The 15,008-nt window shown below is 49.2% G+C and overlaps 5 annotated features.

The window, feature by feature from the left end:
• Window positions 721-1,596: an enhancer, noted in NCBI's record as "NANOG-H3K27ac-H3K4me1 hESC enhancer chr11:45104683-45105558 (GRCh37/hg19 assembly coordinates)". NCBI's record gives its function as "activates a minimal SCP1, AML or CMV promoter by ChIP-STARR-seq in naive H9 embryonic stem cells {active_cell/tissue: H9 hESC(naive)}" and the evidence as "EXISTENCE:reporter gene assay evidence [ECO:0000049][PMID:30033119]".
• Window positions 1,597-2,474: an enhancer, noted in NCBI's record as "NANOG-H3K27ac-H3K4me1 hESC enhancer chr11:45103805-45104682 (GRCh37/hg19 assembly coordinates)". NCBI's record gives its function as "activates a minimal SCP1, AML or CMV promoter by ChIP-STARR-seq in primed H9 embryonic stem cells {active_cell/tissue: H9 hESC(primed)}" and the evidence as "EXISTENCE:reporter gene assay evidence [ECO:0000049][PMID:30033119]".
• Window positions 4,590-4,659: a silencer, noted in NCBI's record as "silent region_3283". NCBI's record gives its function as "represses an Ori minimal core promoter by ATAC-STARR-seq in GM12878 lymphoblastoid cells {active_cell/tissue: GM12878}" and the evidence as "EXISTENCE:reporter gene assay evidence [ECO:0000049][PMID:35858748]".
• Window positions 8,880-9,494: an enhancer, noted in NCBI's record as "NANOG-H3K4me1 hESC enhancer chr11:45096785-45097399 (GRCh37/hg19 assembly coordinates)". NCBI's record gives its function as "activates a minimal SCP1, AML or CMV promoter by ChIP-STARR-seq in primed H9 embryonic stem cells {active_cell/tissue: H9 hESC(primed)}" and the evidence as "EXISTENCE:reporter gene assay evidence [ECO:0000049][PMID:30033119]".
• Window positions 9,495-10,110: an enhancer, noted in NCBI's record as "H3K4me1 hESC enhancer chr11:45096169-45096784 (GRCh37/hg19 assembly coordinates)". NCBI's record gives its function as "activates a minimal SCP1, AML or CMV promoter by ChIP-STARR-seq in primed H9 embryonic stem cells {active_cell/tissue: H9 hESC(primed)}" and the evidence as "EXISTENCE:reporter gene assay evidence [ECO:0000049][PMID:30033119]".

Raw genomic sequence — 15,008 nt, 5'->3', positions numbered from 1 at the left:
TTTGGGAGGCTGAGGTGGAGGAAGGTGGATCACCTGAGGTCAGGAGTTCAAGACCAGCCTGGCCAAATGGTGAAACCCCATCTCTACTAAAAATACAAAAATTAGCCTGGCGTGGTGGTGTGTGCCTGTAATCCCAGCTACTCGGGAGGCTGAGGCAGGAGAATCATTTGAACTTGGGAGGCAGAGGTTGCAGTGAGCCGAGATCACATCATTGCACTCCAGCTTGGGTGACAGAGTGAGAATTCATCTAAAAAAAAAAAATTAGCTTTTGATTCGAGTGAAACAGCTTTTGATTTGAATGATCACACCAGATTATGTTTGTCACTGTCTGTGTCTGTTTCCTCCACTAAACTAGAAACCTCCTGGAGGGTAGGGTCTGATTCCTATTCACCTTCCATGTGTTGCCTAGCACAGAGGATATCCTCAAAAAGGTTAGGGAAGTGAGTAAACAAAGGAAAGCACTTTGTGAATTGTAAAGCGAGATCCAGGGTAAAGGAAAGAAGCCTCTGGATGAAAGAGAAGATGAACACATGATTCAATGGCTGTGTTTTAAGGTATGTCTGTTTGCCTGTTGTGAATGTATGCCTGCATATATGTATATGAGTGCCACTTGTGAGGTTATGTGTGTGCACAAGTAGGTGTGTGTGCAGGCATGTAAGGATATAGGCATTGTTTGCTTTGTGCATGTGTATTATTGTGTTTAGTGTATGGGTATTATTGTATTATTGAGTGTAAGTGTTGTCTAGAGTCTATTGCTAGTTCTGAGTGTGTACAACTGTATGTGTCTGGGGTATGTGTGTAGGTGTGCACCTGTATGTGTATGTGTAGGTGTAGTGTTGTGTCAGGGGTTGAAAGATGAGGTAGGAAGCAGAAGAAAGAAAGGACTCACTTGTGATTGTGAGTCATTTGCACAAATGCCAGGTGCAAAGGGCAAGGACTCATAGGTGTTCCCAGCAGAGACCCACATACTTCACATCCCATCTCCAGCTTCCACTCCATTCATTCACACCTTCATTCACTGATGCGCAGATGCTGACTCAGCTAGGCCCTCTGCTGGCTGAGCCCGGGGACCATCATCTTACCTGGGATGGTTTCCATGGGCAGCCACAGTGTTGCTGAGGTCCCGGCTGCTCCAGGCTCTGGCTCAGCCTGGTGTTTTCAAATCCCACCTTTCCTGCCTCCCTACCCCACTGCCTCTGTCTATCCTCCCCAGCAAGGATCTGCAGAGAAGAGGACAGTTCTAACAAAGGGGAAGTGAGAAGAAAACCAGCAAGGGGAAAATGGAGAAGACTCTTGGCTGCTTGGCAAGGTCTGCCCCAGACACTTCCTCTCTGCAGGGGCTGTGGACCGCATGCCCCTCTGCCACTGCAGCGTTGGCGGGCACACAGGTGCGGACTTATTTTGTATGCCCAGCCTGTATGTTAGCCTGGAAGTTCCTGGAGGGCAGAGGAACATTATTTATAGTTTCTCCTCTTTCCTCAACTGTCGGAGAGGGGATGGCAGAAGGTTCACACCCTTGTGGCCTGACCTGCAAATTCTACAGCCTGATGTTGATAAACAAACCGGATCTGGTTAACAAAGGAAACTGATCAGCAGCCCAGACCCTGGGAGACAAAACAGTGGGCTCTTGTGACTGATGTGATTTTAAATCCTTATTTATAGGCAGGTATGGAATTCAGTTCTTTCTTTTTCAATTAAGGAAAAAAGCCTGATAGAATAAACGAGTCAGTGAATGAGTCAGAACTCAGAAGGCTTTCATTTCCTTCTGGTGCCTCAATCCCCTACTGAGCGCTCAATCCCTTATGCGCCAGAACCCGTTGCTGGGCATGCAGAGCTGGGAAGCTGTGGCCTCTATTCTGCTGGTGGTGGGATGGGACCCTGGCCTGGGGCTCCAGAGAAAGGGCAGGCTCTGTTTGGTTGGAGGAGAATCTAGAAGAGCTTCTGCAGGAGGTGGCATTTGAGATGAAATTTGAAGAAAAGGAGATGTTTTTGAGGAAGACATCAGCATGTGCAAAGGTCCAGAGGTGGGAACGAGCTGAGATTTTTTGAGGAATGGTGAGCAGTGCCCTGTGGGTTTGGGCTCAAATGCTGGTCAGTCCAGGGGAGGCATGAAGTGGTGCGGTGAACTCAAATGGAAGAGTCCAGTCCCGCCTGGGCTCCAGTGCTCCCTGGCCCACTCTGATCTTGCTCCATTTGCTTCTACTCTCTATGGGCTTGTTTATGGGTGGTAGAACCGCAGACTGGAAATGTGGTAGGAAAGGCTGATAAGAGGTTTGTGTACTCTTCTGTCCCTGCCATGCCGGGGGCAGACACCGGCCATTAAGTCATCATAATGAGCTTTTGTGTTGTTTTGGAGGAAGAATGAGGTGAGTAGAGGCAGGGTCTAGAGCCAGACTACAGAGGTGCAGAATCCAGCTGTGCCATGTACTGGGAATCCCTGGACAAGATCCTTAATCATCCTGTGCCTCAGTTTCCTCATCTGTAAAGTGGAGGTACTAATACCGACTTCATGGTGTTGTTGCTGCGGAATTAAATGAGCTTTTAAACAAGATTAAATTAAATTTTATATAAATATCTGTAAAATGCTTGCAGTGGTACTGGGCACGTGGTCTGTAAGTGTTTGGTTGTTTTTCTAGACCCACACTTAACCCCAGTGCTTCTCAAGACACTGCTCAGGGCAGCCGTATTAATCAGTTGTTGCTTCTCCTGTTTTAATCCAGTCTCCTCATTGTAGATGGCAGGTGGTGGGGCCAGTGAATCCAGGTGGTGGGAAGTCTTTCCCAGGGTCTCAGTGACTCAATGGAGCTGGAGCTCACCATTTCCTGATACTGACACCAGAATTTGTTGCATTATACGATGATATGGTTTGGCTGTGTCCCCACCCAAATCTCATCTTGAATTGTAGTTCCCATAATTCCCACGTGTTGTGGGAGGGACCTGGTGGGAGATAATTGAATCACGCGGTTTCTCTCATAGTGTACTAGTAGTGAATAAGTCTCTCAAGATCTGATGGTTTTATAAGGGGTTTCCCCTTCCACTTGGCTCTCATTCTCTCTTGCCTGCTGCCATGTAAGAAGTGCCTTTTGCCTTCTGCCATGATTGTGAGGCCTCCCCAGTCATGTGGAACTGTGAGTCCATTAAACCTCTTTTTCTTTATAAATTACCCAGTCTTGGGTATGTCTTTATCAGCAGCCTGAAAACGGACTAATACATATGACTTACAGCATAGGAAGGCGCTAGCAGGAAGGATCCCAGTGCTTAAGAGGGAAACTCCTGGAACCTTCATCTGCCCACTGTGAAGGGAAGAGCTGATATCCAGCCCTCCCAGCTCTGCACAACGTGAGGATCTCCCACAGGGCTGTCCCAGGGGAGTCAGCATCGGGGGTGGGGCATAGGCCAGTCCCCCTGCTATCCTGTACGATAACCCCTCTCCTGGGGGCCCAGTGCATCTCCAATCTCTGTGGCAGGTTCCTCCCCACCTTTCCAGGCCCCTTCCTTTCTTCTGTTCCTTCTTAGGAGATATAGCTACAGCCTGGGGTGGTGGCCATTCAGCTAGCCCTTGATGGGAGGGTCCCAGGAACCAGCTTCAGGCCCTAGATGGGTCCACTTCCAAAGTGACCAGCCTCCGCCTTCAGAGACACTGGAACCATATGACCTGCTGGCCGGCCTCCGGCAAGCGGATGGGACCTCAGCCTTCACAACTAGACCGCTTCTAGTTAAGCACCGGTGTTTCCAGCCCTTGGAGAAGAAAACTCAAGAAAGTGCTTCCAAGGTGTAGTTCAAAGACTACCTGTGCCGAATCACCTGGGGGTGGGGGTCAGGAGGCTCATCGATGAAAATACAAATTCCTGGGTCTTACACAAGACCTACCGGGTTAGACTCTGGAGCTGGGAGTGCAGGAACCGCAAGTTTCCCAAGCAACTCCTGCACACTCGAGTTAGTAAACTGTGGGACTCACGGGGCAACAGCAACGGGAAAGCCCTTAGGACCAGGAATCCTTGGTACCATCCCAACCCCATTGCCAGACTCCCTGAGGGACGCCAGGGATTCACAGTTTGTGCCAGTGAACGAGCCCAAGCCTGCGTCTTCACTCCTTTCTCTCCAGCTGCCCACACTGCTCACACGTTCCCCGCAGTTTCTAAATTCAAAGTGGGGCAGTTTGAGCTGTTTACCAACTCCCTTTCCTGGGCACCAGGTCTTAGAAGCCTGCCACTGGAGAGGGGTCTGGGCTCACATCCTTCTAGGGCTTGGCAGGAGTTTCCCTGACTGTAGGCAGGGGGTGAGGATGGGACCCGAGGGCCCTGTTGCAAGCTGGGTGACTTCCTGGCCTGGAGCAAGCCTCTGACTTTCCAGACACAGCTTGGGCCTCTGAACCACTTCCTCCCGGAAGTCACAGTCTTTACAATCTCCCCCAAGTGGGACGGCAGCCTGAGTGCTGTCAGGCTCACCTGCAGAGGGACTCCCGTCCTGGGCCCTGGAGCTGGCGCTGGGGTGGGGGTGGGAGCCTGACACCCACTCCGGCCCCCTACAGATGGTCCAATGCCTCGTTGGCAGAGCAAGTGTTCATTGAACACCTGCTGAGTGTGGCTTGCTGTACTGGGTGCTGGTGGGGGGAGGGTGAGGGATGGGGAAGCATTGGGGGCGAAGAAAGAAATAGAAGACTGGGGGAGTGGAGAAGCCCACACGCAGGTTTAGAACAATCACTAAGCAGCCTGCCAGGCAAAGCGAAACACACTCATCAGAATCCAGTCTGCGTGAGCTTATTCAGCAGGCCAGGCTGGTATCTCAGAGGTGTGGGGTGTGTGCTGGCGTGGGAGGGGGGCAGGGAAGACACAGGGGCAGACAGGACTTATGTTCCAGTCCTGAGGCCACACACCATGGACAAGGCCATTGCTGTGTGGCCTTGGTAAGTTACTTACCCTCTCTGAGCCTCAGCCATTCCCCTTTCTGTGCTTCCCCCAGTGTATACAACCTGGAAAATTGCCAGCTTAAACCAAATTTTCTGACACTTAGCAAGGGATGTGGCTTCTTGGTCATCTGAGTGGTCTGTCAGCTAGAGGCCCATGTCACCCCAACAGGCAGTATAGGGTCATGATTAGAAACCTTGTGCTTTGGGGTCACAGACCTTCACTGAAAGCCACCTCTGCCACAGGCATATCAATGCCCTTGTCTATAGAATGAGCAGATCTGTCGGCATCTTTGCAGGGAGGATTCAGTGAAATTCACTCCTGGCTGGGGAGCGGGGTGTCTGGACAGCATCTCGGAGAAGGGGCAGAGGACATGAGGTTCACAAAGCACTGCCTTCCTCCTTTGCTTTGATTCATTTTAGTTGCAGTAGTCACTTGTTGGAGATGTTAATGAATACAAAAGCCAGAGAGTGTTTCACTTTTTTCAAAGACTGCACGAGTTATGAGGTTTGAGGAGTGCCAGGGTACAGGATGGAAGGGGCCCAGCGCTGTGCCTGGCGCTTGGTGAGCTCTCCTGAGTGTTACAAGACAGACTTCTTCCCACTGCTTCCTCTCTTTAGTGTCTTCCGATGAAGACACTCCTCCCCTTTCTCCTTCTCAGCTGTGTTTGTTCCCTAGAGACAGCTGGAGCTCCACCCCCCAACAGCCCCTAAGCAGGGGGGGGCCTCTCCCCTGCAGCAGCCTGGCTCTGGGCTAATCCTAAACCCTCTCCTAATTAAAGAGCATATAATTTAGGGATTAAGTGTGAAGTGATTAAAATTAGAGACCTGTGTGCCAATCCTGGCTTACTATTCACTGGCTGTGTGACCTGGGGCAAATTACTTAGCCTCTCTGTGCTTCAGCTTCCTCCTCCAAAAAAAAAAAAAAACATGGACTAAGGCACCCACGTCACAGGGCTGTTGTCAAGATGAATCGAGTAAGTGCATGTGAAACATTTAGCATGCACTAAGCAGTCAATGAACATGCAGCTGTTCTTCAGGTTAAAGCCACACTGGCTATTGGTTGCCTTCTGTTTTCTTTACTTTCGCAGAGCCACCTCCCGCCATGGGCCAGTCTGGCTGGAAACTGTAGGAGTGAATAAGAGAAGGATCCATGTGAGTGCGTGGTCAAAATAGAAGTTGCCGTGGAAAGGCGAGAGATGAGTCTGCCAGTGAGAGCCTGTCTGGATGTCGTCAGCTGTGATGGGCCTACAGGTTGTCACGGACTTGGCGGCTCTCCGACGACTGCTGAGCAGTCTTCTATGTATAAGAATCCAGAGCCTGTCGGGATGAACCAGGGTGTAGGGAGTCAGTGTTAATGGCGCTTGGGAGCTGGGTTCAGCGGGGAGGTTCCTCAGAAGGGTCCGGACTCCATCACAATCATTGCAGATGGAGTTGGACTCTAGCCAGCAGAGAGGAGTAGTCACAGAAACTGTGGAGGCCAGAACAAGCTGATCTGAGCCCTAGGGGGTTAAAATTCTTTCTTCCCTCCCCACTCACCTCAGAAAAGTGACCTGGGACCTTGTGACCAAGCAAGTGAAAATTCAATTCATTATCTCATAAATGCCTTCAAGAGTTGGTAGACCTAAGAGTACAAAAGAATACAAGATTCCCCCCACTTCCAAAAATCCTAAGAGTTGAAAGGGTGAATACATGTGCATATGGTCAGAGTTGAAACCTACAAATGCAGGCACATGATCAACCCTGTGTAGGCATAGACAAGAATTAAGGAGTGTGTGGATTACCAGAATCCAGGGATTGGGCTGAAGAGCTGGGGAGACAAACCCTCATTTTTTTTTATGCCTGTGACATAGAACTTAGGGAGTCCCCCTAGGCCACCACATCCAGGAGAAATTCCCTATCCTAAGCAACCTCAACTGAAGGGCTCATAACGGCCTTCTTGGGGGCTAAGCCACCCCAGTTAACTGAGATAATGTTTTTTCTTTGTGGGTGTACATTTTTTTCACTCCAGGAGATTTGGGGTTATGTTAAGACAGGCTTATGGGAATTAAAACCATAGTATTTTATTTTTCTGTTATACACTTACTTGTAATGCTAAGATAATTTTGCCTATTAAAGTGAGAATCTAATCATCCTAATTTAAAATGTAATTGAGCAATTAGATGTGTGAGTTTACATTGAAATCTTACTAAACTTATGCTCAGTCCTAGAATATTTCAGAGCATTTTAGGTTCACAGTATATATACATTTAATTTACTAGCTGTAAATGAATTAGTTATGTCCCCAGGGAGATTTTGCTCAAAACAGGCAAATGAGTTTAAAAGGAAATCCAACAGATGACTTTAAAGATGTTATTGAAGTACATCATATACTCTGACAAGTCCTGAGATGACAAAGTGAACCGGTATCCATGTAACCAGCACCAGATCAAGATGCCTCACAATACTTGAACCTGGAAAACCTCTCAGCAGGTCCCTCCTGCAGCCAGTCCCCCTCCAAGGGAAACCACTCACTCCAAACATTACATTTATAAAGGCAATATAAATTGTTTGAGATGTCTTTAATTACGTTTGTAAACGCGATCAAATGTTCGAAGACTTCTTAGAAGCAGCTGCTAAAACCCGCTTGATATCAACAGAACAAAGATTTGTAAGCAGACTTAAACACTTAAGAGAGAATTAGGGTTGTGAATGTGTCAGTTTAGTAAATTGAACTCCAATTATTTAAACTCAAAGTAAATGTCTGAGTAGTCTTTTCTGGGCATTAACAACGGCCCATGGAGACACTAAAAAACTCAGATGAACATGCATATGAACAGTCATAGTCCAAAGACATGAAGGAATGTTCATGAAATGACGCATCATGCCTGTATCTTTCCTTAGGCAGAAGGCACATTTCCAACTCCCAAGGCCACTTTCAATGCCTTGGGCTTTGCAGATCATGTTCTTTTCTTGAAACAGCATGCCTATATTGTCTATGATTTACTTTAAAATATTTCAAATAGGCAGTGGGACATATTTTGAGTCTATACTCTAGGATACTCTAGGATAGTCAGTTAACGTGAATAGAAACACTACATACTCCATGGATGGGTGTTTAGCATTGGAAAGACTCATGAGAAGCCCACAATGTACAGGGACAACTATAAGGGTTTCCATTGTCTTTATTTCCAATCAGCACAAGAGGGCTTGTTCATTTGCATAATGGGTATAAAACGATTTTTCATGGGTGATCCAGTAGGATAAACAATGCATAATTAGCTGGAGATACAATACGGGTACTGTCACTCTTGCCTGAACAAGGTCTTAGAATGCAATGGTCCAATAGCCTACAGAAGTGCTCCACATTCAGGACACCCTCTAGTCTTGTGCATGGCCAATTACTTGACTCCATAGAAGGTCAGATGAGTTCTGCACTGGAATACTGTTGCCTCTACCCTTCATTAACGGAACATCTAATAGGGAGATGGCTGGGACTTTGGATACATTTTTCATTACGGGAACATCTAACAGGGCATATGGCTGGAACTTTATGGAGTTCTGGACCGGGCGGATGTGGGGCCCACTTGCTAATAAATGTGTGCAAATTTGGAGTGGGACCTGCTTTCATTATACTTTACTGCCCTAGTGGCAGGCTTGTGGGAATGGCAACAGGTGCCCTCCTTTCCCTGTAGCTATGAGAAGTTATGAGTATTAATTGAAGCGAGTCCAGTGTCTGTGACCCAGTTGGTTGAGGTCAGTTGACAAAGCAGAGGCTCAGAGGAGTCTGATGGTCTGGGGCAGTGGGCAGTGCAATGCCATGGAGCAGGCTGGGAGACACATCTTTGGTGGGGCCATTCCAGGCACCCCCCCACCCCACAAACACACACACTTCCCCACTGACCGTCATCTTCTCCAGCTCTGGGTAAGTGTACCTCGGGCCTCAGCTCCCTCAGATCCTATGATGGCCTGCCTAGGGGCTCTTCCCACAGCCAGGACCTAGAAGATTAGGGTAGGGATGAGGGTGGGTGGGAATTTCGCTTCCATAGAATATGGCCTTGGAGCTGACATGGGATTCTTTTCTCTCCTCGACTTGATATCAAAGTGGTTGCTCTGTCAGCTGTTTTGACAGCATCTCACAGCCCTAGCTACCTACAAGTGCACATCTTAGTGACAGAATCAGGTGGGCTTGAAGATACAATGCCTTCTCTTCCCTTGGAGGTCCTGTTGAAAATGGCTCTTTTGAAAACCAGACAGCAAGTATTATACTCAGTATGGTGCCTCCTCGCTCCTCTTCACCTCTTTTGTTCCTTCCTTCTCCCTCCCTTACTTTCTCTTTCATCCTCAGTATAGAGCACTCTAGGCCCAAATCACATACAAGCCAATCATACAAGCATTTTGTCACTTGATGCTCCCGGATCCATGCTCGGCCTTAAGGGACAGAGAGTTTTCTTTCTCTTTCTGCTGCTTCTCCTGCTTCTCCCTGCAGTGAAGCAGCTCAAACCAGAGCCCTGAAGAAGACACCCCCTTTTGGTGTGACTTCTCTACTTTAAACCCCGAAAGTCACGCCAGGCAGCCCCTGACCTTACAAACAGTAGAGCTCCCCTGGAGCCTCCAGAATATTCTAGACTGCAGTGGGAGTAGCCTTTCCTTGCGCAGCCCTGCCCATGGGACCCTTCCAAGGATCGCTCCAGGTGTTCTCATGGCTTCCTCCCGCTGCCCCCCCTGAGCCCAGGTGCCCAACAAGCAGGGAGGGTTGCACTGCCTTCCATGGTCTTCTTGTCCTTGAAGCCAGCCAGACCATCAAACAGTCACGACGCTGGCATTTGATTACTTGGAAGAAAACAGCATTGCCAATATGAGGAAGGTGGCTGGGTGTGGGGAGGAGAAGGGAGCTGAAGTGGGAGGTATTTGGGTGGTGATTATTAGAGGTAATATGTAAATATCTGATGATTGGAATCCTTGTGAAAAGATGTTGAAGAAAGTGATGTTAAACAGCCCTGTCATCCGCAGAACCATCTGTGGGTGGTGGAGAGGGTGGTTAAAGGCCTTTGATTTTTGTCCAGTGCCTCTGCAGCTGGGGAAGCAGGTTCCTCTGCCCCCTCCCCTCGTTCTCCTTGATGTCAGATCCTGGCTCTGCACTGGGAGGTGAGAGTGGATGGCCCCTCTGCCCTGCCTCTCACACATGTAGCTTGGCAGGTTTTTCCTAACAAGGGGTTGAGGGGAATCATTTCACCTAGACATGCTCACCCTGGTGTCTCATTAGGAACTGGGCCATTTTAACAGATCCAGAGAGGGCCCAGACTCTTCACTTTGAAGTTTTTTGCTCCATCCAGGTACTATGAGACTTCCTTAATCCTTAAGGATGTTGCAGAACCCTGGATCCTGAAAAGAACATGGGTTTGGAGTCAGAGAGACCTGGGTTCCAATCTAGTTCCTTGAACTCACTAGCTGTGTGACTTTGGGCAAGTCACTTAACTTCTCTGAGCCTCTGTTTCCTCATCTTAAACATGGAGCTGTGTAGAGTTGTCCTGGGGATTATTACACCCATGAACCAAATCAATTCCCCGGCACACTCCAGTGCTCAAGAAATGGGGGTCTTCTACCCCTTCTCCTTCCTGGGTGTGGAGGAGAGAGAGGACCCCTGGGCTGCACGGTGAGGCTGGACCTGGCTGGCTGGCCCTGGTTCATGGGCTGCTTGGTGGAGCCCAGTTGAGGCCCTTGGGTCTGCTGCCGATGCTGCAGGCTATGTTTCTACAGCTTGCGAGGCCCTGGCCCCAGAGTGTAAAGAGGCCTCCAAGCCTCTTGCCTCTCTGTGGGAAGCAGCCCAACCCAGGGAGCTCTGGGGCGGGGGTGGACTGAGAATCACAGTCGAGGCAATTCAGTTAAGCCCGGAGCTGTCATTAGTTGTTCTGGCCCATAATTGGGCTATAACTACCCTTTGGCCCCCAATGAGGTTCGGGGACCGTGATTAGCTGTGATTAGCCTCTTCGTGCCTCAGAATGCTGACTCCGCACTGTCCCCTCCTCTCCCACCCCTGCCCCTCCCTTAGGGCCCTGCCAGAAATAGACAAGCGCTTCCTGTGCAGAGAGACCCACACATGAGGCTCTTACCTCCGCTTTGCTCTGTCTGGGCAAGCCATAGCCTGATGCTAGGAAACAGACTCGAATGAATTGTCCTGGTTCTGAGCAGCAAATGCCAGCTTCCTTCTGGTCCAGCTAGTGAGGGAGGTTGCTTATCCCAAGTGAAACTCAGCCTAGGGCTTTGTGGCCTGGTGGTGAAGAGGGCAGACCTGGGCCTTGGGTAACTTAGGAAGCCTTTCTGGGCTTTCATCATTTGTACAATGAGGGCACTTGCCTTGTGAGGTTGCAGTGAAGATGACATAAGTCAATAGGTCAGTCCTGCAGCTGGTCAGCTGGTCACAGCATCTTCACCGAGACCCTCCTACATCCAGATGCACACCTGTAAACACAGGTGAGCAAGACAGACTGAGACCCCATCCTAGATACCTTTACATTTTGGAGAAACAGAAGGGCACCCAGCAGAGAAGGCTAAGGAGAAGCAGTATTGAGGTTGGAGATCCAGGTATGCTGGCTGTGTGGATGCTGGAAGAGAAGGCCAACTCAGCAGATGTGAAGTGCAGAGGGCAGTGCTGGACACAGTAGCTACTCAATAAATCACAGCTCTTCTTATCATTATGGGCAATGAGTGACATTGTAGGGCTTCTCACATTGTGCCTTGGGAGCACAGGAGGAAACAATTCTACCTGATGGAGTCCAAGGAGACTTTCTCGAAGGAGTTAGCATTTGAGCTAGACTTTGAGGGATGAGTAGCTGTTCTATAAAAAGAGGAAGCAGTTCCCTCCCTTCCTCCCTCCATCCATCTCTCCCTCCCTTTTCATGTGCACTTTTTGATTCTAACTGTGTACTGGAATAGGGCCTTCCTCATCCCTCTCTAGCCTGGTCCAGCCCTCAGGGCAGAGCCTGTTGAGAGGGTTCAGGCTATAGTGCCTGCAGTTCCATTAATCCCTAACTCCATCAACAGTTCACTGGCTCCCCTCTGCTCCCAAGTGAGCAGCAGAATCTCGAAACAGCCCCACCTGTGTCTTCTTCCATCTCCTCTTGCCCCTCCCCACCTGGTGCTCTGGGCACACTAGCCTTGGCCAGGCCCCATAGAATGATCCGGGTTCCCACCACCTGGGGACCTTTGTTCATGCTGTACCCTTTCCTCACCTCTCTGCCTAGTTACTCCCATTCATTAGATGGAATGTCATTTCTTTCTTTCTTTCTTTCTTTCTTTCTTTCTTTCTTTCTTTCTTTCTTTCTTTCTTTCTTTCTTTTTTTTTTTTTGAGACAGAGTCTCACTCTATTGCCCACGCCAGAGTACAGTGGCACAATCTCAGCTCACTGCAAACTCTGCCTCTCAGGGTCAAACGATTCTCCTGCTTCAGCCTCCCAAGAAGCTGGGATTACAAGCATGCACCACCATGCCCAGCTAATTTTTGCATTTTTAGTAGAGACGGGGTTTCACTGTGTTGCCCAGGCTGGTCTCGAACTCCTGACCTCAGATGATCTGCTTTCCTTGACCTCCCAAAGTGTTGGGATTACAGGCATGAGCCACTGCCCCCAGTGGAACGTCACTTCTTTAGGGAAGACTTTGGCAACTCCATGGAGAAGATCAAGTCTGCCAACTACCTCCCTGGAGCTCCCAAACTCCTATTGTTCACAGCACCCACCATAATTCAACTCACACACTTGTGCTATTATTTGATCCGTGTCTGCCTCCCCCACTAGACTATGAGCCCTGTATGGGGCAGGATCTGCGTCTGCTTTAAACACCGCTGAAGCGCTAGAGCTAAGATTTTTTTGAGCACTTACTGTATGCCAAGTACAGTTCAAAGTATTGTAGAGAAATTAACTCATTTAACCCAAGAAATGACCGTGTGAAGAAAATATTATAATCACCATTTTACCAGTGTGGAAACGAGGGACAGGAGAGTAAAGTAACTTGCCCAAGATTATCACACGGGTGTAAGAAGAGGCTGGGCAGTGGGGTCGAACCTCAGCAGCTCAGTTCCAGACCCTGTGTTCCCCACCACCAGGCCATGCTGCCTAGCCCATGAAAAGTAGTTAGTACATGTTTCTTATTCATTTATTCCTTCCTTCATCCATTCAACAAGTGCTTTCGAGGGCCCACTAGGTGTCAGAGGCCCTGTTTTAGGTGCTGGGATGAAGTAGTGGAGAAACTCAAGTCTCTGTGTCTTGGAGGGTACATGTTAGTAGAGGCCAGACAATAAACAAATTAATATAGACCAGAATATCTGGTGGTGAAATATGCCAGGAGGAAAAGTGAAACTGGTTAAGGGGCAGAGAGTGGCTATTTTTGGACAGCAAGGTCAGAAGAAAGACCTGTGAGGCAGACAGCCCTGTGGATGTCCCAGAAATGTGTGTTCCAGGCTGAGGGAACTGCATGGGCAAAGATCCAGTGGTGGGAATGTGTGTGCTGTGATGGAGGCAGTGATGGGGGAGAATGGAAGCGGGGAGGTCAGAGATGGGGAGAGGTCATGGGGGTCTGGGATGCCAACCTAAAAGTTTGGTTTTATTTTAAATGCTGGGAAGCCATTGGAGGTGTCCACAAATGAATGAGTGAATGCATGGATGAATGAAATAGTGCAGCTGATTGCCCTGGCTTCTGTGGTGGGATCTGGAGATGGGCAGAGGTGCCAGCGACAAGGAACAGATCCTTTAAACCTCGCTGCTCTGGCCAGAGATGATGCTTTCTTAGCCAGGGCCAAGGTATGTAAAGTCCCAAGCCCAGGAGGGCCCTGGATGCCCAGGGAAAGAGCTGGCACTCCCCAGGTCTGGGTGCAGCCAGGCTTGGTTTCAGATGAGGCCGATTTTAAAATCTGTACCTTAAACGCTCTGCTATGTGACCTTCTGAAGGTCCTTGCAATTAGAGCATAGCAGCATAGGCTTTGGCTCAGAGTTTAAGCAGCCCTGGGTTTGAATCCCAACTTGGCCACTACCTCACTGTTTTGACATTGGGCTTGCTACACAGTCTCTCTGTGTAGAAACGCCATTTCTTCCTCTACGAAATGGATATCCTAATATCCTGGAAGCATTTTACCCACTTTGTCTCACTGTTCCTTACAATAGCCCTATGTGGGCAGTGCTATTAGGATGGATAGCATAGGACAGGGAAGAGCTGGCTTTCCTATCCTCCCCCAATTCTCTTCCTGGGGCAGGTCCCCTGCCAAGCACTAGCTGGGCTATTCTGTTTTGTTTCTGAGATGGAGTTTCGCTCTTGTTGCCCAGGCTGGAGTGCAGTGGTGCTCACCATGACCTCCGCCTCTTGGGTTCAAATGATTCTCCTGCCTCAGCCTCCTGAGTAGCTGGGATTACGGGCATGCACCACCGTGCCCGGCTAATTTGGTATTTATAGTAGAGATGGGGTTTCTCCATGTTAGTCAGGCTGGTCTCGAACTCCGACCTCAGGTGATCCACCCATCTCGGCCTCCCAAAGTGCTGAGATTACAGGCGTGAGCCACTGCGCCTGGGCCCTGGGCTATTCTTTATGTAGACATTGAAGTTCTAACCTGCATGGCTCTGGGCTGGGTCCTGTAGATGTGCAAAGGTGCCTGGGAAGGTGTTGGACCTATCGGGATGGGTAGCACTGCCCACATAGGGCTCCTGTAAGGAACAGTAAGACAAAGTGTGCAAAATGCTTCCGGGACCACCACATATGGTTGTTCAAGCTCGGCACTGCACAACTCCAGGTTGCTGAGCAGTACACAATACCTGCAGCTGTGCTTCATCATTACCACCTGCTCTGTTTGCCTTTGGGAAAGTTACTCTGAGCTTCTGTCTCCTTTTCTGTAAAATGAGAGAGGTGACTTCTGCCTTGCAGAGCTGTCAGCAAGACTCAAAGAAATGCTACATGTCAGGGTACCTGGCAAGCCCAACTCTTGTTAAGAGGGAAAAAAATGGTGGCTTTAAAAACCACACTGTCCAGAAGGTCCATGGCAGGGTGGGGGCCATCCAGGAGCTGGATTTTCCAGGCACAGCACTGGACCTCCAACACCCACCAGCCTCGTAGATCAAAGCTGCCAGCCCCAGGCTCTACT

The sequence above is a fragment of the Homo sapiens genome, chromosome 11 (assembly GCF_000001405.40).
Source record: "Homo sapiens chromosome 11, GRCh38.p14 Primary Assembly".
NCBI lineage: Eukaryota > Metazoa > Chordata > Mammalia > Primates > Hominidae > Homo > Homo sapiens.
Note: the sequence above shows the minus strand (reverse complement) of the source record. Positions and strands in the feature narration are given on the sequence as shown.